Genomic DNA, 25,995 nt, shown 5'->3' with positions numbered 1-25,995 from the left:
GACTGAGGTGGGAAGATTACTTGAAGCCGGGTGGTTGAGGCTGCAGTGAGTCAAGACTGCGCCACTGCACTCCAGCCTGGGTGACAAAGCAAGACTCTGTCTCAAAAAAATAAAAATAAAAAAATAAAAATTAAAAGAAATAAACATGGCAGCTTCCCTGCTCTCTTTTTCTCCTGATGCCTTGTGAAGAAGGTGCTTGCTTCTCCTTCCCCTTCTGCCATGATTGTGTTTCCTGAGGCCTCCCCAGCCATGTGGAACTGTAAGTCAATTAAACCTCTTTCCTTTCTAAATTACCCAGTCTCAGGTAGTATCTTTATAGCAGTGTGAAAACTAATTAATACACTAAGACAGTAGTGGATTGGAGAAGGTGAGTACACATGCCCTTAGGAAGCTACCTGAGTAGCTCGGGAGTGGCCTTCTTTATCTTAAATTTGCCAATTTACTTTCCAACTTCTAAATATAATTTTCAGTAAAACTTCTTCTGAAAGGTTTCATAAAATATCAGAGTATATTGTAGTATGTAAAGAAAATAATATTAAAATAAATTTATTTTATACAGAAATTGGACTTTATCGATTAGGGATTATTAACAGGAAAGTTAGGAAGAGAGATGCTTAATAACCAAGACAACTCATTATCCAGAACAGGTCCAGGTGTATAGTGGACACTCTATAATTGTTTGTTGAATCAATGCATGAATGAAATGTTTAGTAGTATATTCTAATTTTCGTACTGCTACTAATATCCAAGTTAGTATGGTATTTAGGACAAAGATGATTCTCAGAAAATTCAGCCTTCTTTAGTTGTGTGACTAGGGTAAAATGTTTAATTTCTATGAAACTTTGTTTCTTTGAAAGCATATGAAGGATAATGCAACTGTAGTAGTTTATAATTGCTACTATAATAAATTACTACAAATTTAGTGAATTTACAATGCAAATTTATTATTTTACAGTTCTGTAGGTGTGGTGCACAGAATAATGGCTCTCCAAATATGTCCACAAACTTATTGCCAGTACCTGTGAATATGTTACTTTACATGGTAAAAGAGATTTTAAAAATGTGATAAAGTTAAGGATTTTGAAATGGAAAGATTATTCTGGATTATTTGGGTAGACCCAATGCAATCATGATTCCCTGCCCCCCAACCCAGAGACACGGTCTTTCCCTGTCACTGTCAAGCTAGAGTGCAGTGGTGAAAACATGGCTCTCTGTAGTCTCAGACTCCTGGGCTCAAGTGATCCTCCCACCTCAGCCTCCTGGATAGCTGGGACTACAGCTGCATGCCACTATGCCTAACTAATTAAATTTTTTTTTTTTTGCAGATATGGACTCTCACTATGTTGCCCAGGCTGGTCTCAAGCTCCTGGGCTCAAGCAATCCTTCCATCTTGGCCTCCCAAAATGCTGAGATTACTGGAATGAGCCACTGTGACTGGCCTATGTGAGACTTTATCAGAGGGAGGCCAACAAGTCCAGAAAGAAAGAGATGTGATGAAGGAAGCAGAGATTGGAGTGATGAAATTGCTGACCAGTACTGACATCTTGATTTTAGCCCAGTGAAATCTATTTCAGAGTTCTCACATCCAGAACTATAGGATAATTTATTATCAAATTTGATAAATTTGATATGGGTCTTGTGTGAAAATCAATGTGTCAACAGGGCTGCATTTCCTTCTGGAAGCACTAGAGAAAATCTGTTTCCTTGCCTTTTTCAGCTTATAAAGATTACACGCATTCTTAGATGCTGGATGCATTCCTTCCTCTCCAAATTCAGCAACACTGCATCTTTCCCTGACAAACTACAGCCAGGAAAGTTTATCCACTTTTAAGTATTCATGTGATTAAATTAGACCCACCCCCTCATCTTGAGATTCTTAATTACAGCTTCAAAATACTTTTTTACGATGTAGGGCAATATATTCACAAGTTCAGGAGATCAGGATATGGATATCTTTTGGTGGTTGTAGGGAGGTTGCCTTATTTTGCTTATCACAGCCACTTACCTTGCAAGGATTATATTAATATAATTGGTGAAATATAAATATATAGCATAATGTAGTAAATGTTAACAGAGTTTTTTCTCTTTGGAGTTCAATCTCATATTTAATTCCTTTTATCTCCTTTGACATGTTCCAATGGTTACACTATCCAAATTAAATATAGTGACTTGGTAGATGTTACTTTAGACTCATTTATTAAAACTGTTAAATAGTTTTCTTAATTTCCCTAGCTATCTGAACCTAACTTAAAATTATTGAAGAAGTATGTGAATTGGGTCAAAATAAGCTCACATTCAAGCATTTAGTTTTTAACTTAGAACTGAACCTTGTCCATCCAACAAATATTTATGTAGTGGCTAATATGAGCCAGGCACTCTTCTGGGCACTGGGGGTTCAGTAGTAAATAAATCAGCTGAGCATCCATGTGGCTTTCAACTGAATTCAGTCTTGAAAGTAAATTGTCATCTTTCTTATGCCTATTCTTTATGTGCAAAGAATAGCATTATTTGCTTAAGGAGTACCTTTTTCTTTTAGTATTGTTTTAATTATTGTTTTCCTGTAGGGGGCTTATATATATATTTTTTATTATTATACTTTAAGTTCTAGGGTACATGTGCACAACGTGCAGGTTTGTTACATATATACACATGTGCCATGTTGGTGTGCTGCACCCACTAACTGGTCATTTACATTAGGTATACATCCTAATGCTATCCCTCCCCGCTCTGCCCACCCCACGACAGGCCCCAGTGTGTGATCTTCTCCTTCCTGTGTCCAAGTGTTCTCATGGTTCAATTCCTGCCTATGAGTGAGAACATGCGGTGTTTGGTTTTCTGTCCTTGCGATAGTTTGCTGAGAATGATGGTTTCCAGCTTCGTCCATGTCCCTACAAAGGACATGAACTCATCCTTTTTTATGGCTGCATAGTATTCCATGGTGTATATGTGCCACATTTTCTTAATCCAGTCTATCATTGATAGACATTTGGGTTGGTTCCAAGTCTTTGCTATTGTGAATAGTGCTGCAATAAACATATGTGTGCATGTGTCTTTATAGCAGCATGATTTATAATCCTTTGGGTATATACCCAGAAATGGGATGGCTGGGTCAAATGGTATTTCTAGTTCTAGATCCTTGAGGAATCGCCACACTGTCTACCACAATGGTTGAACTAGTTTACAGTCCCACCAACAGTGTAAAAGTGTTCCTATTTCTCCACATCCTCTCCAGCACCTGTTGTTTCCTGACTTTTTAATGATCGCCATTCTAACTGGTGTGAGATAGTATCTCATTGTGGTTTTGATTTGCATTTCTCTGATGGCCGGTGATGACGAGCATTTTTTTCATGTGTCTGTTGGCTGCATAAATGTCTTCTTTTGGGAAGTGTCTGTTCATATCCTTCGCCCACTTTTTGATGGGGTTGTTTGATTTTTTCTTGTAAATTTGTTTAATTTCTTTGTAGATTCTGGATATTAGCCCTTTGTCAGATGGCTAGATTGCAAAACTTTTCTCCCATTCTGTAGGTTGCCTGTTCACTCTGACGGTAGTTTCTTTTGCTGTGCAGAAGCTCTTTAGTTTAATTAGATCTGCAGGGGGGTTATATTAAGTGTATATTCAAATTCTAGATCTGTGGGTTCTTGCAAAGTTCATATTTGTAGTAAACCATAAATTGCAAATGTCATTAAACATATATTCAATTAGAGAAATAATTAAATTGTTAACCATGAATTTTGGCAGTTTTCCAACTATGGTCAGCAAAAACAGCTGATTTAATCAATTGTGATTATAGATCAAAAGATGCATGACCAAAGCTTTTACATGTGTGACTGAATGAGAAAGCATATTTTTATTCACTGAAAATAAAATTCCTTTTAGGGAAGGAACAGTCCTTACTTAGGAAAATAAAGATATGCAAATTTTAGGTCACTTGGAGTTGGAAAGAAAAACACCAGGAATTGAAGAAGATTTAACAAAAATACTAGAGTGACATTACTCTCTCTCTCTCTCTCTATATATATATATATAGGATGATAAGCCAGCATTTTGAATCTTGAAAGTAGCAATGAGAAGGGAAAGAGAGAGATGGAGTCAAATAACATGGAAAGAACCCGGAACCAGAATGGCCAGAATTGTCTAAAAGACTTAAAAAAAAACAAAGATAACAAGTATGAAGTTGTTTTCTTTGCTGTGATGTTACTTCCTGCTCTCCATCTAGCCAAACTCTCTGTGAAGTGTGGCCTTTAAACACACATGGAATGGGATTTCTTTCTGGTGAAAGCTAAAGAAGAGGGATTGAAGTCCTAGTACAGAGCAGACAGAAAGGAACAACTTCATAACACAGAATGAAGACTAAAAATTCAGTATATATAGAAAAGGATAGCCAGAGGTGGTTCTAGAAGAGGAAAATTCCTGGGCCTTCAGGCCAGTCTTATTCCTGTAAGGCGGAGTGAACCAGACTCACTCTGGATTGTACAAAGTTTGATCTCAAGGTGCATAGCAATCATTTCTACATTACAAGCTGTATACTTCGATCTAATCACTTGTCACTTTCAGTCTTAGTTCACCTACAAAAATTGAATAAAAATTAAGGGCCTACCTAAGTGGGTTGCTGTGGTATTTAAATATTAAATAGTATCATTGCAATTGTTGTTATTGTAACTGCTAATATTGTCTCTTCTTTTTTTTTCTTTGTCTCTTTCATCCCTAGAGGGCAGTAATTATTATAATAGTACTGTTAAAGACGATGAAGACTTACAGACATGGAGACAAAGAAGAATTGAAGTGGATATGAGCAAAATAAATATCTTTTCCTCCTACTTATCCAGAATTCTCAAAAGGTAGTTTATATTCACTGCCTCTCCTTCTTTATTTCTATTTACTCCGCCATGCACTTACCTTTCTGCTACCAATTACTTTTTCTAAAATATTGCTTACATGAAGGATACAAATGTTCCAGCTGGCAAAATTTATTCTTCCCTTCTTTATTTTCATTGTGCCTTTCCTGCATTGATGCTATTGATACCTGCTACTTCTTAAAATATTCTGCACTGTTGTTTTCTGTATTCAGCTTTTCTAGTTCTGCTCATCTTTATTTCTTTTTGAATTTCTCATGACTATCTTTTCCATACACCTCAACCCTATCAACACTGACACTACCATTCCTGCCAGCAAATATCGTTATCCCTTTCACCTCCACCTGGACCTGCCACTTAGTGGTCTTCCACTTACCCACTTCCAGAGTTTTAACCAGCATTGTACCTTATTAGTTTCCAAATCTGTACGTTTAACTAATGAGTTTCAAACCAATTTATTCAATTGTCAGCTGGAAAGCTCTACCAAGATGTCCTCAGATACCTAAACATACATCCAAAATTAAATCTATTGTCACTCTTCCCTAAAACTGTCTTCTAATCTGTTATTTTCTGTCTTATTTGGTGGCAAAAATATATACCTGTCACTTGAATAGAAACCAGTCTTCTCTATTCCTTTTTCTTCCTACACTCTATCCACATCTAAACAGTGGTCTCCAAACTATTGTGAACTTGCACCCTAATAGTAAAAAATGTTAATCAGGCACTTCAAAATGAGTTCATTTAGTTATTATTTACATGCATTATCAATCAATGTATTAAATATAAGAAAACTCTATTTATTAAGATAAAAGAAGTTCTAATATTTATTTCCTATAACTACTATATAGTCATTCTACTCCATTTTGGAGATCCCTGAAATAATTATTAAATCCTGCTAATTCCACATCTAAATATTTGTTTAATTGATTTCCTTCTTTCATTTCCTGCCTTTTTCCTTTCCCCTGCTCTGGTTCAGAAACTTGTTGTTTCTTGACTGGGGGATTCCTGCTCCAAACGCCTCACTTCATGGTGGTTCCTGACTTTGCGTGTGTCTTTCCCAAATCCTCACATGTCTTATTTTATTTATTTTTATTCAAACTGTACAATGGAATCTTTACACTTCCCTTTTTAAAACCATTTGTTAACCTTTCATTGTCTGCTGGATAAAACCCAGGTCTGTTATAAAGCTCTGTGTGGTCTACATCCTTTTCTAGCTTGATGTGTTACTACTCCATTCTTTACATTTTAAATTTCAGCAAAATCAAACTGATGTATTTTCTTAAACTCAAACATTTTTCCCTCACTTCTTTGCCTTGTGTGTTTTCAGTGCCTCTTCTTGTGTTCTCACCCTGCCATTCACCACATTTCTTTTTCTGATTCATCTTTATTATTTTAGGCTCATGTTGGTTATTGCATCATTCAAAATACATTTCCCCTGGTCATTGGGGCTAGCCAGACCCACATAAATGTATAATATTCTGTGGGTAGCTCCACCATTCTGGAACTGATTCTAGCTAGAGAAAAATTCTCAACCACATTGATTACTCTCACCTTAAATATATGACCACAACTTTCAAGTAAGCTCATAAAAGCATAGTGGATGTCCCTAGCTATTTACTGTCTAAATATCTTGGATTATTATTTGACATCTTATTTTCTCTCTGCAAATTCCCAGCATCTCCAAGCCCATCCTCTATTTTACCTAGTGACCTTGCATCTTATTCACTAAAAATAAAAGCAGATGTAAGAGATATTACACATTATCCCACTACCCTATTTGCCAAAGTGCCCAGCCAGCACCTGTAACCACACCAAATACTATGCTTTCTCATCTATTATCATAAACTATCCATACTCTTATCTAAAGCTATTCCTCTGCTTGTGCACTAGATCACATGCCTGTCTTGCCTACTCAAGGATACAATTCCAACCATATTTTTTGTCTCTTTTATATCAGTCAATTTTTTTCCTACTAGATTATTGTAATTATCATAAATACATTCTATTGTTTCCCCTATCTCAAAAAACAAAGCAAAACAAAACTTATTAGGTCCTAGACAATATTAAGGACTTGTCATAAATTTTGTTTGCTGTGACAGTGGTATTGTGGTTATGCCAAAATGCTCTCATCAGTTGAAATTACATTCTAAAGTATTTTTAGGTGAAATAATATGAAACATAAGATACGCTTTAAGAGTGAGGTGGGATATAGATGAAATTAGATTAGCAAAATATTGATAATGATCAAAGCTTGGTGATGAGTACTATACTATTCTCTGTACTTACGTGTATATATAAAATTCTTGATAATAAAAAGTAAAACAAACAATAAGAAAACCTATTGACCCTACTTTCCCTACCAGCTACCATACTATTTCTTTGCTCACTTTTATTATTGAATTCCTTGAAAGAGTCATCTATAGTCCTTGTCTTTAATTGTGTTCCTTAATTCTCTTTTAACCTACCTCTTTTAGATGTTTGCCCCTCCACTCCTTTGAAGTTACACTTTTTAAAGCTTATTCATGTTACCATGTTACTGAACCCAGTGGACTATCCTTAGTTACTATTCCATCAGCAGAATTTGACATAATTCTTGACATACTTCCTTCACCACACTCTTCTGATTTTCTTCCTTTCCTTTTCCTCTCAGGTTCATCTTCTCAGTCTCCTTAACTTCAGAAACTCAAGGCTCAGTGATTGGTACTCTTTTCTTTTTAAATTTATTCCCTTAGTGATTTTATCCATTCATAAAGTTTTAAATGATATATAGCCATCAACTCTTAAATGTATATCTCCACCCTATACCTCTCTCCCAAACCCCAGAGGCATATATCTATATACTCTACACTTTCACTTCAATGTGTAGTACAAATTTTACCCCCAAATATCTCAGACCAAACCCCTGCGTTACTCCCAACTTCTGTAACAAGGTTTTCCATTAGTTATTTACAACTTCATAATTGTCATTGATCAGGTCCAAAATCATTCATTCTTGCCTCTGCTTTATATCTATATTCAATCCATCAAGAAATCTTGTTGGCTCAACATCTGAAATACATTCAGAATTGGAACCTTTCTCTCTATATCCTTTATCACCATCTTTAAGTCATCATTATCTTTTCCCTAGGATTACTCTAATAGTTTCCTAAGTGGTTTCTACCCTTGTCCCAACCTTCCATTCTCAACATGAAGACCAGAGTGATCCTTTTAAAATGAAAGTCGGATCATGATATATTCCTCTCAAGATCCTGCAATGGACAGAAGTTATTTGTTATCAATTTTGTAATTTTGCATTGTTTATATTGCTGTACAGTTGGAATTATATTTTATTATGTAACTTAAAATTATAAAATTATTAAATATAGAAATTTACAAAATAAAACAAAATTTTTTTTAACTTTTATTTTAGATTTGGGTGTACAGTGCAAGTTTGTTATATAGGTAAACTCGTGTCATGGGGGTTTGTTGTACAGATTATTTTATTACGCAGGTGCTAAACCAAGTACCCAATCGTTATTTTTTCTGCTCCTGTCCCTCCTCCCACCTTCCACCCTCAAGTAGGCCCCAGTGTCTGTTGTTCCTTTCTTTGTGTCCATGAGTTGTCATCATTTAGTTCCCACTTACAAGTGAGAACATGCGATATTTGGTTTTCTGTTCCTGCATTAGTTTGCTAAGGATAATAGCCTACAGCTCCATCCATGTTCCCACAAAAGACATGATCTCATTCTTTTTTGTGGCTGCAAAGTATTTTATGGTGTGTATGTACCACACTTTATCTAATCTGTCATTGATAGGCATTTAGGTTGATTTCAATGTCTCCCATTTGACAGGATAAAAACCCCAATCCTTACTGTATTAGTCCATTCTCAGGTTGCTATAAGGACATAGCTGAGACTGGGTAATTTATGTAAAAAAAAAAAAAATAGGTTTAACTGACTCACAGTTCCTGAGGCTGGTGAGGCCTCAGGAAACTTACAATCATTGAGGAAGTCACCTCTTCACAGGACAGCAGGAAAGGGAGAATGAGTGAAGGGGGAAACCCCTTATAAAACCATCAGATTTCATGAGAACTAAGTCACTACATGAGAACAGGATGGCGGAAACAGCTCCCATGATTCAAAATTATCTCCACCTGGTTCCTCCCATGACACGTGGAGATTATGGGAACTACAATTCAAGATGAGATTTGGGTGGGGCACAGCCAAACTATATCACTTACAACGGTCTATAAAGGTCCCACACAATTCACCTTCCTATGACCTTTCTAACCTTGTTTTCTACTATTCTTTGCCTTGCTCAGTCTGTTCCAGACCTACTCGCTATTCCTGGAACACATCACACATTCTCTCACCAAATTCATTGGCCAGTTCATGGGATTTTACCTCTGCCTCGAACATGCTTTCCCATGGTTTACATGGCTCACATTTCTTTGCTCCAATATCACTTTCTCAGTGCAATTTACCCTTACCACCTGATTTTACATTGCAACAAGACCTTTACCTCCTCCACCTTCATATTCCTATCTCCCTTACCCTGTACTAATTTTCCTTTTTTGATAGCACTTATTACTTAATATATTATAATTTCTTTATTTTTTTAAACTTATTATGCATGTGCCCTCAATACAATGTAAACTTCATTTAAAAATTTTGGTTTTTTTGCTGATGTATCTTAAGGACTAAAACAGTGCTTAGCACTTAGTATGACCTCCACAAATACATGTCAAATGAAATATTTGTTGAAATGCTACCTTTAACACATTATATTATAGTTAGTTCATTTATCTGTCTCCAACACTAAATTGCAAACTCCATGATACAGAGACTGTCCTAGTCATCTTTCATTTAAAAGCTATATTTATTAAGGTACAATTTAAAGACCCTAAAATATACCTTTTAGAGTAAACAATGAATTTTGACAGATTTATAGTTACCATAACCACCACCACAATCAAGATATAGCATATATCTATTATCTATTACCCCAAAAAGTTCACTCATGCTTTTTTGCAGTCAATCTCTTGTTTCTAGCCCCAGCTGCTGGCAAGCATTGATCCATTTTCTAAACTTGTTTTGCTTTTTGTAAAAATTTTAGAATGTCGTATAAGAAGAATTTTACAATATGCAGCTTTTCATGTCTGACTTCTTTACTGGCCATAATGATTTTGAGGTTTATCCATGTTGCATGTATCAATTATTTTTACTTGATGTTAATAAGGAATATTCTTTTGCGTTTATGCACCACAATGTGTTTATTCATTCACCAATTAATGGACATTTAACTATTTCCAGCTTTTTGATATTATAAACAAATTTGCTATAGTAGCATTATTGTGGATTTCCTGGGATTCTCTATGTAAACAATCATGTAGTCTGTGGAGAGAGAGAGTTATACTTCCTTCTTTCCAACCTGTATGGTGCGTATGTGTGTGTGTGTGTGTGTGTGTATGTGTGTGTGTGTATGTATATGTGTTCCCACATGCATGAATGTGCAAATTTACTCCAATTCAGTGTTCATTAGGAGTGGTGAGGGTGGATCAACTTGTCTTTTTTATGATCTTAGGGATAAAATATTCAGTCTTTCACCGTTGTATGTATTCTGTAGTATTTTACACATGTTCCTTTTAAGACTAAAGAATTCCCTTATGTTTCAAGTTGGGAATTTTTGTGTGAATGGATGTTGAATTTTGTTAAATTTTTTTCTGCATCAATCAAGATAGTCATATGTTACTTTTGCTTTCTTAGTATGTTAATATGATGAATTAAATTAATTGAAGTTTTAATGTTGAACCAACTTTGCTTTCCTAGGATAAGCTAACTGAATTGTGTTGTATTGTCCTTTTTGTATGTTGCTGGATTGGACTGCTAGTAATTTTAAAAACTGTGTTTAGATTTGAATATTTATATTTTTTTTACTTCTATATTTATAAAGTATATCTTTGTGTGTTTTTTTGCAGTGTTTTTCTGGTATTGGTGATAGGTTTATGCTGGCCTAATAAAATGAGTTGTCAAGTGTCAAGCCTTGTCGACTTTCTTAAAGAGGTGATCTAAAATTTATATTAATTCTTTCCTAAATTTTTGGTTGATTTCATTCTGTGAAGCCATTTTGGTCTAGAGTTTTCTTTGGAGGAGTCTTTAATTTCTTTAGTAGATGTAGAGCTATTATGATTATTATCTGTTCTTTCCAAGAGTTTGCCCATTTCATCTAGCTTTTAACATACTAATCATATTCATTAAATTAAATTAATTTATTTATTTGAGGCAGGGTCTTGCTCTGTCACCCAGACCAGAGTGCAGTGGCACGATCATAGCTTACTGTAACCTCGAACTCCTGGGTTCAAGCAATCCTCCTGCCTCTGCCTCCCAAGTAGCTAGGACTATAGGCATACACCACTACATCTGGCTAAAGTTTAAATGTTTTGAAGAGATGGGGTCTTGCTATGTTGCCCAGTGCTGCTCTGGAACTCTTAGCCTCAAGTGATCCTCTTGCATTGGCCTCCTAAAGCTTTGGGATTATAGGTGTGAGCCACTGTGCCCAGCCCATATTCATTTTAAAGTCTCTATCTGGTTGTACCATTATCTGGACCATCTCTGGGTCTAGTTCTGTTGACTGCTTAATTTCTTGACAATGGATCTATTTTTCTTGCTGATATTTTATGTCTCATAATTTTTTAAGTTTTAAAATTTTTATGGATACATGGTAGTTGCACATAATTATGGGGTACATGTGATATTTTGATATAAGCATACAATGTATAATGATCAAATTGTAATTAAAATATCCATCACCTTAAACATTTATCATTTCTTTGTGTTATTAACATTCCAATTCTATTCTTCTAGCTATTTTGAAATACACAATAAATCATTGTTAACTATAGTCACTCTATTGTGCTACCAAACACTAGATCATATTCCTTATATCTAACTGTATTTTTGTACCTATTAACCAAGCCATCTTTGTTCATCCCTCCCCACTACCCTTTGCAGCCTCTGATAACCATCATTCTACTCTCTATCTCTATGAGATCAAACTTTTCAGCTTCCAGAGATAAATGAGAACATGTGATATTTCTGTTTCTGTGCCTGGCTTATTTCATTTAACATAATGTCCTTCAGTTTCATCTAAGTTTTTGCAAATAACAGAATTTTATTCTTTTCTATAGCAGAATAATATTGTCTTGTGAATATGCACAATATTTTGTTTATTCATCCGTTGATGGACATGTAGGTTAATTCCATATATTGGCTATTGTGAATAGTGCTGCAATAAACATGGGATTGCAGAAATCTCTTCCATATAATGATTTCTTTTCTTTTGGATGTATACCCACCAAGGGGATTGCTGGATCATATGGGATCATATGATGGTTCTATTTTTAGTTTTCTGAGAAACTGCCATACTGTTCTCCATAGTGACTGTACTCATTTGTATTCCCACCAACAATGTAAGCATTTCCTTTTCTCCACATCCTCACCCGTATCTATTATTGACTATCTTTTTGATAAAAGTATTTTCACTGGGGTGATATGGTATCTCATTGTAGTTTTGCCTTTCTCTGATAAGCAGTGATACTGAGCATTTTTTTGATATGGCTCTTGGCCATTTGTATGTCTTCTTTTGAGAAATACGTATTCATATTTTTGGCTCATTCTTAAATTGGATTATTATTATTTTTTTTTTTACTATTGAGTTATTTGAGTTCCTTGTATATTCTGGTTATTAATCTCTTGTCATATAGGTAGTTTGCAAATATTTTCTCCCATTTGTAGGTGGTATCTTCACTTTGTTGATGGTTTCCTTTGCTGTGGATAATCTTTTTAGCTTGCTGTGATCCCATTTGTCCATGTTTGCTTTCATTGCCTATGCTTTTGAGTTCTTACACAAGAAATCTTTGCTCAGACCAATGTCCTAGATTGTTTCCCCAATATTTTCTTCTAGTGTTTTCAGTTTCAGGTCTTACATTTAACTATTTAATCCACTTTAATTTGATTTTTATATATGGCAAGAGATAGAGGTCTAATTTTATTCTTTGGCATATGGATATCTGGTTTTTCTAGCACCACTTATTGAGAAGACTGTTCTTTCTACAATGTATGTTCTTGGTCCCTTTATCAAAAGTGTGTTGACTGTAAATGCATGGATTTATTTCTGGCTTCTTTGTTCTGTTCTCTTGGTCTATTTGTTTGTTTTTATGCCAGTACCATACTGTTTTTGTTATTATATCTTTGTAGTTCATTTCAAAGTCAGGTAGTGCAATGCCTCCAGCTTTGTTCTGTTTGCTCAGGATTGGTTTAGCTATTATTTTATGTGTGTGTGTTGCCATATAAATTTTAATATTACTATTTTTATTTTTGTGAAGAATGTCATTAGTATTCTGATAGGGATTGCAATGAATCTGTAGATTGCTTTGCATAGTATTGACATTTTTAACAATATTGATTCTTCCAATCCGTAAACAGAGACTATGTTTCCATTTTTTTGTGTCCTCTTCAATTTCTCTTATTAATGTTTTACAGATTTCATTGTAGAGATATTTTACTTTTTTGGCTAAGTTTACTTCTTATATTTTATTTTATTTGAAGCTATTGTAAATGGTTTTACCCTTTTGGTTTCTTTTTCAGATTGTTTGCTGTTAGCATATAGAAATGCTACTGACATTTTATGTTAATTTCATATTCTGTAACTTTACTGAATTTGTTTATCAGCTCTAAAACTTTTTTGATGGAGTCTAGGTTTTCCCAAGTATAAGATCGTGTCATCTGCAAGGAAAGCTAATATGATTTTTTTTTTTTTTTTTTTTTTTACAAATTGAATGCCTTTTATTTCTTTCTCTTGTCTAATTGGCTAGGACTTCTAACACTATGTGGAATAAAAGTAGTGAAAGTGGGCATCTTTGTCTTAATCCAGATCTTACAGAAAAGGTTTTCAGTTTTTACCTTTTCAGTATGATGTTAGCTGTGAGTTTGTCATGTTTGTGTCTCATATTTTTTTACTGCTGACATTGTATATAGGTCAGTAGAAACTGAAGGAAATAGTATTTATGCCTTGCAATTGCCACACCTCTTTTCCTATCAGGTCATTAGCATGGGGAGTTAAATTAATCCCAGTAGTTTCACTGGGTTTGAATTTTGTTGTTGCTAGTTATTTTATTGTGACATAGACTTCAAATTCCTACAGTAGAAAACATGTTATTTTGTTCTTAGTGGAAGTTCTAGATTTCCAGAGTGAAATGGGAGGGAGTGGTAGTCCTGAGTCTTCCTCATCCATCCTCAGATCCATCCTTCTTTTTAGCAGGCCTTCTGTGCCTGCAGGTCAGATGTGTCTCTCGCAGTGGTGCTCTTTCACCTCCCTTGTGGTAATGTGCCATTGTTTTTTACTTGCTTCAAGACTGTTTGTGGTGATATTAGAGGATACCTTTGTTTTTCTTATCCGGCATCAGTCTTAGGTAGCTTTTTGTTCTTGAGCCTGAGCAGTGGGCTTTCTTAACATTCCTGACCTTTCTTCCTATGTCAGCCAAACTCTGCTTTCTGTCTTTGGGGGATCTTGGGTACAGCCAAATTTCCTGTTTCTCTTTTATTGCAGCAGCCCTCTGCTTTGTATTAATTTAAGATCCTGAACATGAATGCACTTCCTGTCCTTCCCCTAGTGACAGATGTTTTTATTTTTGCTTCATTTCGGTGCAGCGTGGGAAGGGTGGATTTCTGTCACACCCCAGCAATTAAAGACTTTTTTTTTTCCAGGGGGTTCGTTTTTAGGAGCGCTTTCTAGTCTTTTTTCCAACATCATGGGACACTAATTTCCAACACTGCCCCAGTGCTTATCATCATTCACCTGGTAAGGGGGAGGTGAGTGTGAGGGTTTTACTTTCTAAGATATATGAGTCTAGGACACTGCTGGGTTTGTGCCAATTCTCCATACTACTGTGCCACTTCTATGATGGTACCCCTGAGAGAGACTCTCTCATGTCTTCTGCCTCTCAGTCTTTCTTGTGAGCAGCTGGTAGAAGGAGGTGTAAAATTGCTGGTGAGTTTGTGCAGACTCCCTTTGTGTCTGGAGCTCTCAGGGATTCTAAATTATCGTGTTAGCCCACAGTTAGCCTTTAAGATACATTAAAAGATTCGTTGTTTCCTTTTTACTCACTTCTATTGCTGCTACCTCTTCTTCCCATGTTCTGCCAGGGGCACAACAGTTAATAGTTCCCAATTCTTGGAAAAGCATTTTAGAATTCTATATATTTGGTTGTTTTGAAAACTTGGCTCTCATAGGTTCCAAAAAAATTATGACTTTATAGATTTTCTGAATTTTCCTTGTACTTAGGATGAAAGTGATACTCTCTTGCATCTATGTACATTGTAAGTGGAAGGAGAACTATCTTTTCAATCTTCGTATCCTGATTTGGAACTCTCAGCTTTAGAGAACTTCTAAGAATCTCTGAGGATTTTAAACAATTTTGCTTAATCGGTAGTTTCCTCCAGAAACACCATGGAATCCTGGTCTTTGTGAGAATTTTGGTTTAGAAAGACTTAAATGGTTCCAATTCCCATGATCTCAAATCACAGTCTAATCATACAATATAAAACCTTTCTGGCAGCCATTAGACTCTCTTTCAGGGCTTCACAGTTACCCACCAAGCTCGTTTCCCTCTCAGGGCCTTCACATGTGGCTCCTCCACTTGGATAACTCCTACTTCATCAGCTCATATCTTAAACTCCACTTCTTCAAAAATGCCTTAAAAATCCCTTGTCTAAGTAAGGCATCTACCTCCTCAATTATATTCTCACACAGTACCTCAGTGATTTCCTTCTTAGCACTTACCATAGTTTATAATTTGTAGATATATTTGATTATTCATTTAATTAGTCTCTTCACTGTTAGTTCCATTGGATCAGAGCCTCTGTGCAGTTTACTGTTATTCACTGTCTTGTTCACACAGCTTAACTTGTACTTTGCCTAGTGCATAGTAGTTACTCAAAATTGGTTGAATGATAAAATCCTTCTGGAGACTCGGGAGAAACATGGTAGCTAGAGGAAAATAAATTCAAGGAGGCTTCCAAGAAAAGGCTAGTTTTGGCATAAGAAAAATGGAAAGCCACTTCTCAGAAACAGAATCCAAAACAAGGGCCAAACTAGGCCCTGTTTAAGTTTGTTCTTTAAACAAGCATACCAGTCTCTGCAAGTGAACGAGTAGGCAAGTTGAATATTTGCTTTGAATTTATTGTCCCATGTGAACTTGGTAAAAGAAATGCCCACATAAACTTGAGAGGAAATGATTATGCATGAAAGCTTTGTGTACACACCCGACCAAAAGAACTCAATAGTCTTAGAGAGAAACATACAGAATTTAGCATTAGGATAGGTTTTTATATATTAGGCAGCTGGCTTTTGCCATCCAGAGTGTTTCATAGAAATCATCCCAGCCCAAATTAATGAAGAAAGGACAGATTGTTTAGTAAATAGTTTGCAAAAACTGGATCACTCCGTGGAGCAAAATGAAACTAAATTTCTGCCTAACACTACAAAGTTGGATTTCAGGTAGAATAATCCTGCAAAGTTAACCGTCTATGATATAGGAGACTATTTTTGTCACCTAAGGTTGAGGAACGACTTCATAAAGAAAATCTGAAAAGCACAAATCATGAGCTGAAAGAATGGATTTATTTGATTGTGTTAAAATTAAAGATTTCTTTTAAATTACGGGTGTCATGAACAAAATAAACAGATATAAGAATGGGAAAGGGGCCGGGCGCGGTGGCTCACGCCTGTAATCCCAGCACTTTGGGAGGCCGAGGCGGGCGGATCACGAGGTCAGGAGATCGAGACCATCCTGGCTAACACGGTGAAACCCCGTCTCTACTAAAAATACAAAACATTAGCCGGGCGTGGTAGCGGGCGCCTGTGTAGCTACTCGGGAGGCTGAGGCAGGAGAATGGCGTGAACCCGGGAGGCGGAGCTTGCAGTGAGCCGAGATCGCGCCACTGCACTCCAGCCTGGGCGACAGAGCGAGACTCCGTCTCAAAAAAAAAAAAAAAAAAAAAAAAAAAAAAGAAAAGAATGGGAAAGGTATTTATAATGTCTATATCTGACAGGAGATATATGTCTACAACACACAGGGAACTTTACAAATAAATAAGAAAAATATAGGAAAAAACAATAAAATATAGGAAAAGTAGGAGCAGACTATTTGCAGAAAAATTACTCAGTTATCAGGCATGTAAGGGGATGTTCAATATCAAGTCTAGTAGGGATAATGGAGAAATGGAATATAGTGGACATACAATATGGGATATGATGTGGCAGTTAGAAGTCATAGCCCAGCTTTGTGTAGTAACATGGAGAGATCTTATGAAATAAGGATATATGAAACATATAGTAATGTTAACAATAATAGAAAACACTTACTAGTATTTACTATGTGCCAGTTACTGTTCAGAGCTCATAACAACCGTGTGATGGATTATTACATCCATGTTTTATATAGATGAAGAAGCTGAGGTATATAAGGTGACATTGTAAGTGGACATTCTAGATCTGAACTTGGGCATCTGGTTGCAAAATGTTTGCTCTATATGCCTAAGAACTACAATAGGAGCTATAGAACAATACTGTCAATGAAATAAAAAGTTTATGCACTTCAAACTATGATACATGTTTTTGTAGGATATATTAATATGAAAAGAATATCAAAGCTTATTAGAATGGAAATAAAATGAAATTAAATAAATACATCAAGACGGGGTTCTTGCACAATCCTGTGATGAGTGTGCCAAAATGGAGGCAGAGGATTAATTTAACTCCTTGGACAAATGAGAATATGTAAATTTAACTTATACATATTTTGTACTTAAATGCAGTTTTTTTGTGTGTTTTGTTATTTGTTTTTTTTTTCTTTTTTTTGAGATGGAGTCTCACTCTGTCGCCAGGCTGGAGTGCAGTGACACGATCTGGGCTCACTGCAACCTCTACCTCCTGGGTTCAAGCGATTCTCCTCCCTCAGCCTCCCAAGTACTGGGACTACAGGTTCCTGCTACCACACCCAGCTAATTTTTGTATTTTCAGTAGAGACAGGGTTTCACCATGTTGGCCAGGATAGTTTCGATCTCTTGACCTCGTGATATGGCCACCTCGACCTCCCAAAGTGCTGGGATTACAGGCGTGAGCCATCGCACCCAACATTAAATGAAGTTTTTTAAAGCATTGATATAAGGAAAGGCCAAGAAGCAGCTCCAAGAAGAGCCCTGAAGCAGTAGCGGGTATGAGGTGCAGATGCTGATGAATAAAAATAACATGAGGTACAAACAGAAAAATCAGAAAGTCGAAGAAGAGTCAGCAAGATGGTAACAGAGGAATATTCTTTTAGCCACTTTTGTGAGAATGAATTGGACTTTTTGTTGATCTTGTTTAATATACAACGCTGGGCCAGCATGGTGGCTCAGACCTATAATCCCAGCACTTTGCAGGCTGAAGTGGGTGGATCATTTGAGGCCAGGAGTTCAAGACCAGCCTGAGCATCATGGCAGAACCCCCTCTCTACCAAAAACACAAAAAACTACCTGGGCAGGGGTTGCGGTTTTGGCGCACTCCTGTAGTTCCCACTACTCAGGAGGCTGAGGTGAAAAGATCTCCTGAGCCCAGGAGGCAGAGGCTACAGTGAGCCAAGATCATGCCTCTGTACTCCAGCCAAGGTGACAAAGTTCAGACGCCTCCCATAACCTTTTTCTTGTGGCCTTTCATTAGCTTTACAAAGGTGGTTTTCAGTTCCTGAGCAAAGAAGGGGTTAATTTTTTTAGTTTTTTTTTTTTTCGTTTGTTTGTTTTGTTTTGTTTTTGGCGGGGGGAGGTTTTGAGATGGTGCCTCACTGTGTTGCCCAGGCTGGGCTGCAGTGGTGTGATCTCAGTGCACCACAACCTCCGCCTCCCAGGCCCAGGTGATCCTCCCACCTCAGTCTCCTGTGTAGCCGGGACCACAGGTGTGCACCATTATGTCCGGCTAATTTTTTTGTATTTTTGGTAGAGACAGGGTTTCGCATAACACTGAAGAGTTCACAGTTAAGGACTTGAACAGTTTTTTTTAAACTTAGTCAGAATTCAGCTTTCTGTCATTTGGCTAATATGGAGCTCCAAGAGCAGGATTTCTTATCTTTTCTATACTTAACTTTAGCCTTTTTACATAAGTTTTGTCTTCATTCAGCAGCCATAAATTCAATTTAAACAATGAATTGCTCTTGCTTGAATTCTTCTGAGATGCCTGATAAAAACATAGGTTTTGGTATTATCCCCCCAAATCACTATAATCATAGTGATTCATAATCAAGGAAAAACATAAAACAAGACTCACAGAACAAAATAAAACAAATTATTGGGTATTTCCTATACTATACTTTTATAAACACAAATACATAGCAACTAGAGACTAGGCAGTGGGAGCAATTGGTGTCAGAGTTGGGGCAGTAAACTGCAAGGCAAATGACAGCACCAAAAAGAGAACATGACCTGTTTCTTGTTTGGAGGTGGCTATGGTGCTTGTGACTTTTAGAAGCAGAGGTAGGTTATTAGATTAAATTGGCAGAGTAGCAAGAAAATCAACTTATAAGGAAAACAACTGTCCTCAGCTTTTTCCTAACTAGTCAGCTGAATCACCTTTTGCTTTCTTCTGGAAGAACTAAGGGTCTGTTGGAAACAGCTTTGTCCCACCTTAAGGTAAGTTAAAATGTTTGATCTGGCAAAATTAATTAAAAAAAAAAAAACTAACAGGTGATAAAAAGATAAGGGAATCTTAATTTTTCTTCCATTTTTTCAACTCTCCCCCTGTTATTTCTAATGTGGGTACTGGCTGATGAAGGGTGGACGGGTCGAGGAGGATATGTGATCTATAAATCTACAGTATAAATTGGTATAGGAAACTCACACACACTGCATTTTCGGTGTAATCATGGCATTGCTGTAAATATATATATCTAAAATATATAACCTATGATCTTCTGCTTTTGTACCTTAGCTCACATTTTTCTCCTCCTATAGGTTTTCCTATCTCTACCATTCAAAAAATTTATTATTTTCTTTGAAGCTGCCTCCAGATCCCACCACCTCAATTACACCTTTCCGAATGTACTCAATGAGAATTAAATCCTACCATCTCTGAGTTTGCATAGAACTGTGTTTTAATTCTGTTCTGTCAGCTCTCAGTTCTGCCTAGGACTATAGTAATTTGTGTATACATATTTTGCTCTCTTGTCTTGTTCATCTTTGCTTCCCTCATAGTGAATGTTTCTACATGGTATGTTCTCAATAAGTGAATATTGAATGAATTAGAGCGTTTCAAACATAGTAAATGCAGATTTTTAGTGAGCTGCATCTGATAGTCCTGTATGAGATGAATTGGGGGCTGGGAGATCACGGAGTTAGAAAAGTTGTTTACAAATGCATTGTGATATTCAGGCATGAGGCAATGAGGGTCCAGAAGGACAGTGATTGTGTACCGGAGAGGAAATGGTGATTCATAGGGAAATACTGGAGGGAAAAAGAACAGATTTTATGAATAATGATGATGAGGATGATGATGGTGATGATGGCAATGAGGATGCTTATATTTGTATAGTGGTTTACAGTTTATGTCGGTGATTCCAGAGTTATGTATGCAGATCTAACTCCTGGGATTCAAGTGAAGTGATGCAATAAATAATCATGTGTTGAAGTGGTAAAATGCATGGCATTTTTGTATTTTTCTAGGAAAGGCTTGTTAGCCTCAAAGCTGAAAGGATATATAGCATAGAACATGGTGACAACTTACAATTTAGGTTAATCATGTCAATTTAAGAGTTGCTGCACTTCTGCTGCTCATCAGGGGGTAGTCAGAAGATTTATCTGAGGAACAGTCTGAAAAATCCATTACAACAATTCCCTAATAATGAATTCCAAACACCAGTGTTATTTGTAGCAAATATTTATTTAACTCCCATGGATTCTGTGGGCACTGTATTATTCCTCTAGAGAATGGAGACGGAGTAATAGTTCCTTATGCCTGGGGAGACATTGGTGTCCAGCTTGCTATATTCTGGTGCAAAGGCTAAAGTGAATGTGTTTGTCTTCCGAGGGCAAAGGGCATAAAACACTTTTAACAGAATGCTGCCAGGTCACTTACATTTGTACCATGGGAATCTGGAGTATAAAGGAAGCTGACTGCAGAAACCTCAAGGACCAGGGTGCTCTATTATTGTAGGCTCATCTATCTTGGCATATGTTGATGAGTGTGCCTCCATCCTTTTAATCAAAATGATTGAAATACAAAGTACCACATGCTTACCTGGTATCTGCTTAAGAGTTTCCCAACAGCAGCTAAAAAAAAATGAAGAGATTTCATGTGTGTACACGTTTAGCTGAACTGTTAAATTTTTTTGTTTTTGGTTTCTCCGTTAATTTTCACTTGTGGAAAGGGCTTGAACTTTGTCTTGTTGTGGGACAGGGAAGAATTATATTATTTTGAGATATAAATTGATGATACCCCGTGGGTCCCACTTTCCTTTTTATGGCCAGCAGGCATGAGGGAGTAAAAGTTAGACTATCAGGTCTAGAGCTGGCTCCTGGGAGAGGAGTAAAGCTTTCAACTCCTATTTTACAGTGAAAATGGAAGATGACCATTTGGTCTGGGCTTGAAAGGAGATCACAAGGTTCCAATGAATATGGGAAGGAGGCAGCGTGGAAGAACTCTTTAGATAACAATAGTTCTCTTAGGAGGTCAGGGATCAGTACCCTGGCTCAAGTGAGGATGACTGAGTAGAAGCAAGACCCAAGCAACTGTAAACCCGACATGAATAAGACAAAGGGGGTCTCATTGATCAAATTGAATCAGGAAGGGAAGGAGACTAAGGCTCTCTTTATGCCGCATCAACTCCAGTTACTGCAACTTGGTATGAATGGGACTGCTAACTGTATAGAGGGAGCATTTAGTGGTAAAGTTGGGAAAGAATTGGAATTTAACAGGGGGATAAATTAGTTGAAAGAAAAAAGTTTGATTATAGTGGGATTGGCAGGAAATTGATAATATGATTGGTAGGGGGCTATCTTTTGAGGTAACATTTTAGAATGTCTAAGTGGGAAGTAGCCCCTTTTATGTATTTCTTTTAATGACATAGCATAGGAACAACTGAAATGGTCACTTTGGCACAAAATAGTTCTTTATTAAAAAGAATACCCAGTGTATTCACTCATTACCCAATGGGTGTGACTTTTAAGAAAAAAGACAGGTGAGGGAGGAACATATTTTCCCCAGGCTTGACATATTTTCCCCAGGCTCACATTCATGAAACTAGAGGGGAAGCAAAAGTTTAAAGACTATGTTGACTGATTTGTGTGGCATGTTAGCAAAGGACCCAAGGCAAATTGAAAGGGGATTCAGAGATCTTTGATATCTACAATGATTCTGGGACTTTTAAAATATATGTCCTAAAACCCCTTATTGGCTTACTGTAGTTTGCCAACCAATATGGTATGTGAGTCCAATCTCGTCCACGTATCTATTTCAGTTGTTTGTTTCTGATAACCATGACCCAAGGGGCTACCACAAATGAAATTTTATACTTGGAAAAATAAATAATAGAAAATATTGAGCCAAGAGAATGGAAATAATACATACCAGGGACAGTGAAATTGAGTCTTTCTTTAGAAAGGGAACAGAAATTAAAGAACCATCTAAAAATAAAACACAATGAAATCTATTTCCAAGACTGCAGCTGAACTTTGTACTGACTTTTCCAATAACAGCTGCATTACAGAATTGTGTAAACCCCACATTTACTAATCAGGAAACTCCAAAGATTAGTATCAAATGAATCTGCAATTGTTTCAATAAATGGTCATATTAACAATTTGCTTAAATCAAGGAGGATGAAATCACATGATTTGCTGAAGTATTTTTATCTAGAAATCATTTTATTAGAATGTTATTATTTATTAGAATATCTATTATACATTAAAGAGGCAAGAACTTTTAAAGTAAATAAATTAAAAACTTATGTTGGAAAGAATAGATCGGGAAACTAACGTTTATTGCATGCTACTTTATACTAGCCATTATGTTAATATACTTATATACATTATCTTCTTTCAATTTCACATAAACCCTAAGAGATATAGTTCTTAACCGTTCTGGAGATAAGGAAGCTGAGGTACAGACAGGTTGAGAACTTGCTCAAATGAAAGGTCTTTTTTTTTTTGTCTTGAGAATAACAATAGCAGAATGACAACCAAAAAAGAATGATGGGAATTTAAGCATCACCACTTTACAACCATAATGGTAAAAATGAATTCAGGTTTCCAACAAAAAGAATAATTAATAGATTCTGAGAGTGGGGAAATTTAATGAGGAACATGTATTTAATAGTCCCAAAATACAGTCATGCACGCTTAACAATGTTTTGGACCATTGGACCAACAATGGACCCACCACACAAGCAGCAGTGATTTCATAAAATTATGATACTGTATTTTTACTGTATTTTTTTGTGCTTAGATGTTTAGATACATAAATACCATTGTGTTATAGTCACCTGCAGTATTCAGTATGGTAACGTGCTATACAGGTTTCTAGTTTAGGAGCAATAGCCTATACTATGTAGCCTAGGTGTGTATAGGCTATAGAGGCTAGGTTTGTGTAAGTACACTCTGTGATATTCACACAATGACACAATTGCCAAACAATATATTACTCAGAACATATTCCTGTTATTAAGGTAAGCATGACTGTATCTTTCCACAAATTATTTACTAATAAAAAAATTTAAAAAAACATTTAATGCTGTGCAGAAAACAGTCAACAACTGATCAAAATTAACATCCTCAATAAGAAGCAGTGAATATCATGTGCCTCTGAATGACGTGTGTACATAGCATCACTGTACTATTTCAGCTAAAATGCATAATCTAAATCAAATCAAAAAGAAAAATCAGAAAGCACACACTGAGGGATATTCTGTAATGCAGCTGGCCATATTTTTCAAGATTATTAATGTCATGAAAGACAAAGAATAAACACAAAAAGAAGAGAAGTTGCCAAACTTAAGGTAGTGAATGTAACCTCGATACTGGGGTCACAACATATCAAAGTTTACTGACCAGGAGTCCCTGGCCAAGGGTGCGAGCAGCGGTAGGTGTTGAATATAGTCTGTTATATCCTGCTTATCAGCTGTGAGCCCTGCCCGGTCTACTCCAGACACTGGGAATTTATATAAAGATGCCGCAAGTGCTACTTTTTTGTTACCCAAACCTGAGAAAGCATGAAAAGCCAACCAATTTCTCTCATGATTATAGATGTAAAAGCACAAATAAAATAATACAATTGAAAACTCACCACATGCTAAAAGAACACCATGTTATGATCAAGAAGCTTTTGTTTCAGGCATAGGCAAATGGTCAATATTAGAAACTCGCAGCTCAGTTTATCACTAAATCAAAGAAAAATTAAATGTAATTATTTTAACAGTTCCAAATAGATGTGATAAAATTTGACATCAAGTCCTGATATAAAGCTTCTTAAACTGGAAAGATGTTTTCTTAACATGATAAAGCCAAATCACACTCAAAGATGAAAATATGCATGAAGCATTCCCATCAAAATCAGAACCTCAACTCTCTCATTTGACTGTGGATACAATACTACATTTCAGTGCTGCCACGAGGAGGAAAAAAATGCTGAAAAGAGCTAATAAGCATATATGAATTAATATTGAAGTAATGAAATTAAGTATATTAGTCATTATACTAAATATGATTATAAATAATTCTCCTGTTAAAGATATGTGCACATGCACACACACAAACTTGAATTATTGGTAAAATATTGGTAATATGAAAAGATTTTTAAGCTTGTCTAATCAAACTGCATTTGATCAGAAGATTCACAGTGCATACCATAGTGTAAAGGGTTAATAAATATTATACTGTGTATTCCCTTCTGGTTAAAAGCATATAATTATATAGATCTTCTAAATAAGTATTAAATTATGGGATACTTTATCATTATTATTATTGTTATTAAGATTCTTGTTCAGGTGTGGTGGCATGCAACTGTGCTCCCAGCTACTTGGGAGGCTGAAGTGGGAGGATCACTTGAGGCCAGAGTATGAGGTTGTAGTATGCTATGATCATGCCTGTGAATAGCCACTGTGTTTCGGCCTGGGCAATATAACAAGACCCCATGTCTAATTAATTAAAATAAAATAAAAATCTTTGTTTTTTAAATTATTGGTTATCTAAACAGAAATATAAGCTCAATACACCACAGAAATACTAACATATCATATAAACAAGTTCTGAATGACATAGCCTGTAATGCTCATGTAGAGATTAATTTTTATTGGACTAGAAAATAAGTTCTAAAACATATATTCCTATGGGTATTGGTAGAATAGTAAGACATTTTATAAAATGAATAATTTATATCATCTCTTGCCCAATAAAATGCTTGGGGAAATCTTAAGTCAAACTGTTCTGAGAAAAAAATTTTTTAAATAATCAGAAAACCCTTGTTTGGTATGAAGAAAGAACAGAAAGAGAAAAGGAGCTGTCAAATTGAGTGGATTTTACCACCAAAATCTTCAAAAAGCAAAACACGTACTTATGAAATACAAAAATTTAATTATTTAAAAAATATTCTGTAACATCAGCTCATTTATGTGACTGATTAATTTCTGATGCAGAATATGTCTACACAGCCTCCTGACTCTTCCCTTTCATAGGACTTTTCCTTTTCTTTATAGCATTACCACAATTCTAGATTGTTTCTGTGAGTTTGCTTTTTCAACGTCTGCTTCTCCGAATAGACCCTAAATTAAAAAGAACATGCTTAGTTTGTCCATTATTGCTACCTAGAAGTTAGCAGAGTGCTTACCACAAAGTAGTGCTCCATCTATATTTGCTAGTGAATAAACAAATAAATACATGAACTAGTCAAGTCAGTAAATCAAATTAATTGTAAATGCAGTGTATCTAATCAATAAATTTGACTATTCCCCAGATAGCCTTCTTCTCTTCCTCTTCCTTAATCTCTGGCAGTTTAATGGATAAAAATGAAGGAATTGAACAAAATTACTGGTACATAGCTGGAATTATTTTTTTAAGGCAGCATAGATGAATGAAATGCCTACCT

General features: G+C 36.0%; 1 long non-coding RNA gene across 1 annotated transcript in view; it reads left to right on the top strand.

Annotated features, from left to right (window-relative positions):
* LOC105377977 (uncharacterized) overlaps window positions 1-25,995 on the top strand; it is a 46,633-nt gene that overhangs the window by 2,169 nt on the left and 18,469 nt on the right. Inside the window, exons 2-3 of the long non-coding RNA XR_942934.2 lie at window positions 4,710-4,839; window positions 10,811-10,895. This is a non-coding gene — a long non-coding RNA (uncharacterized LOC105377977). The remainder of the gene's footprint in view (window positions 1-4,709; window positions 4,840-10,810; window positions 10,896-25,995) is intronic.

Source organism: Homo sapiens, chromosome 6 (assembly GCF_000001405.40).
Source record: "Homo sapiens chromosome 6, GRCh38.p14 Primary Assembly".
Classification (NCBI taxonomy): domain Eukaryota; kingdom Metazoa; phylum Chordata; class Mammalia; order Primates; family Hominidae; genus Homo; species Homo sapiens.
The sequence above is the reverse complement of the archived record's forward strand: the minus strand, read 5'-3'. Positions and strand labels throughout refer to the sequence as shown.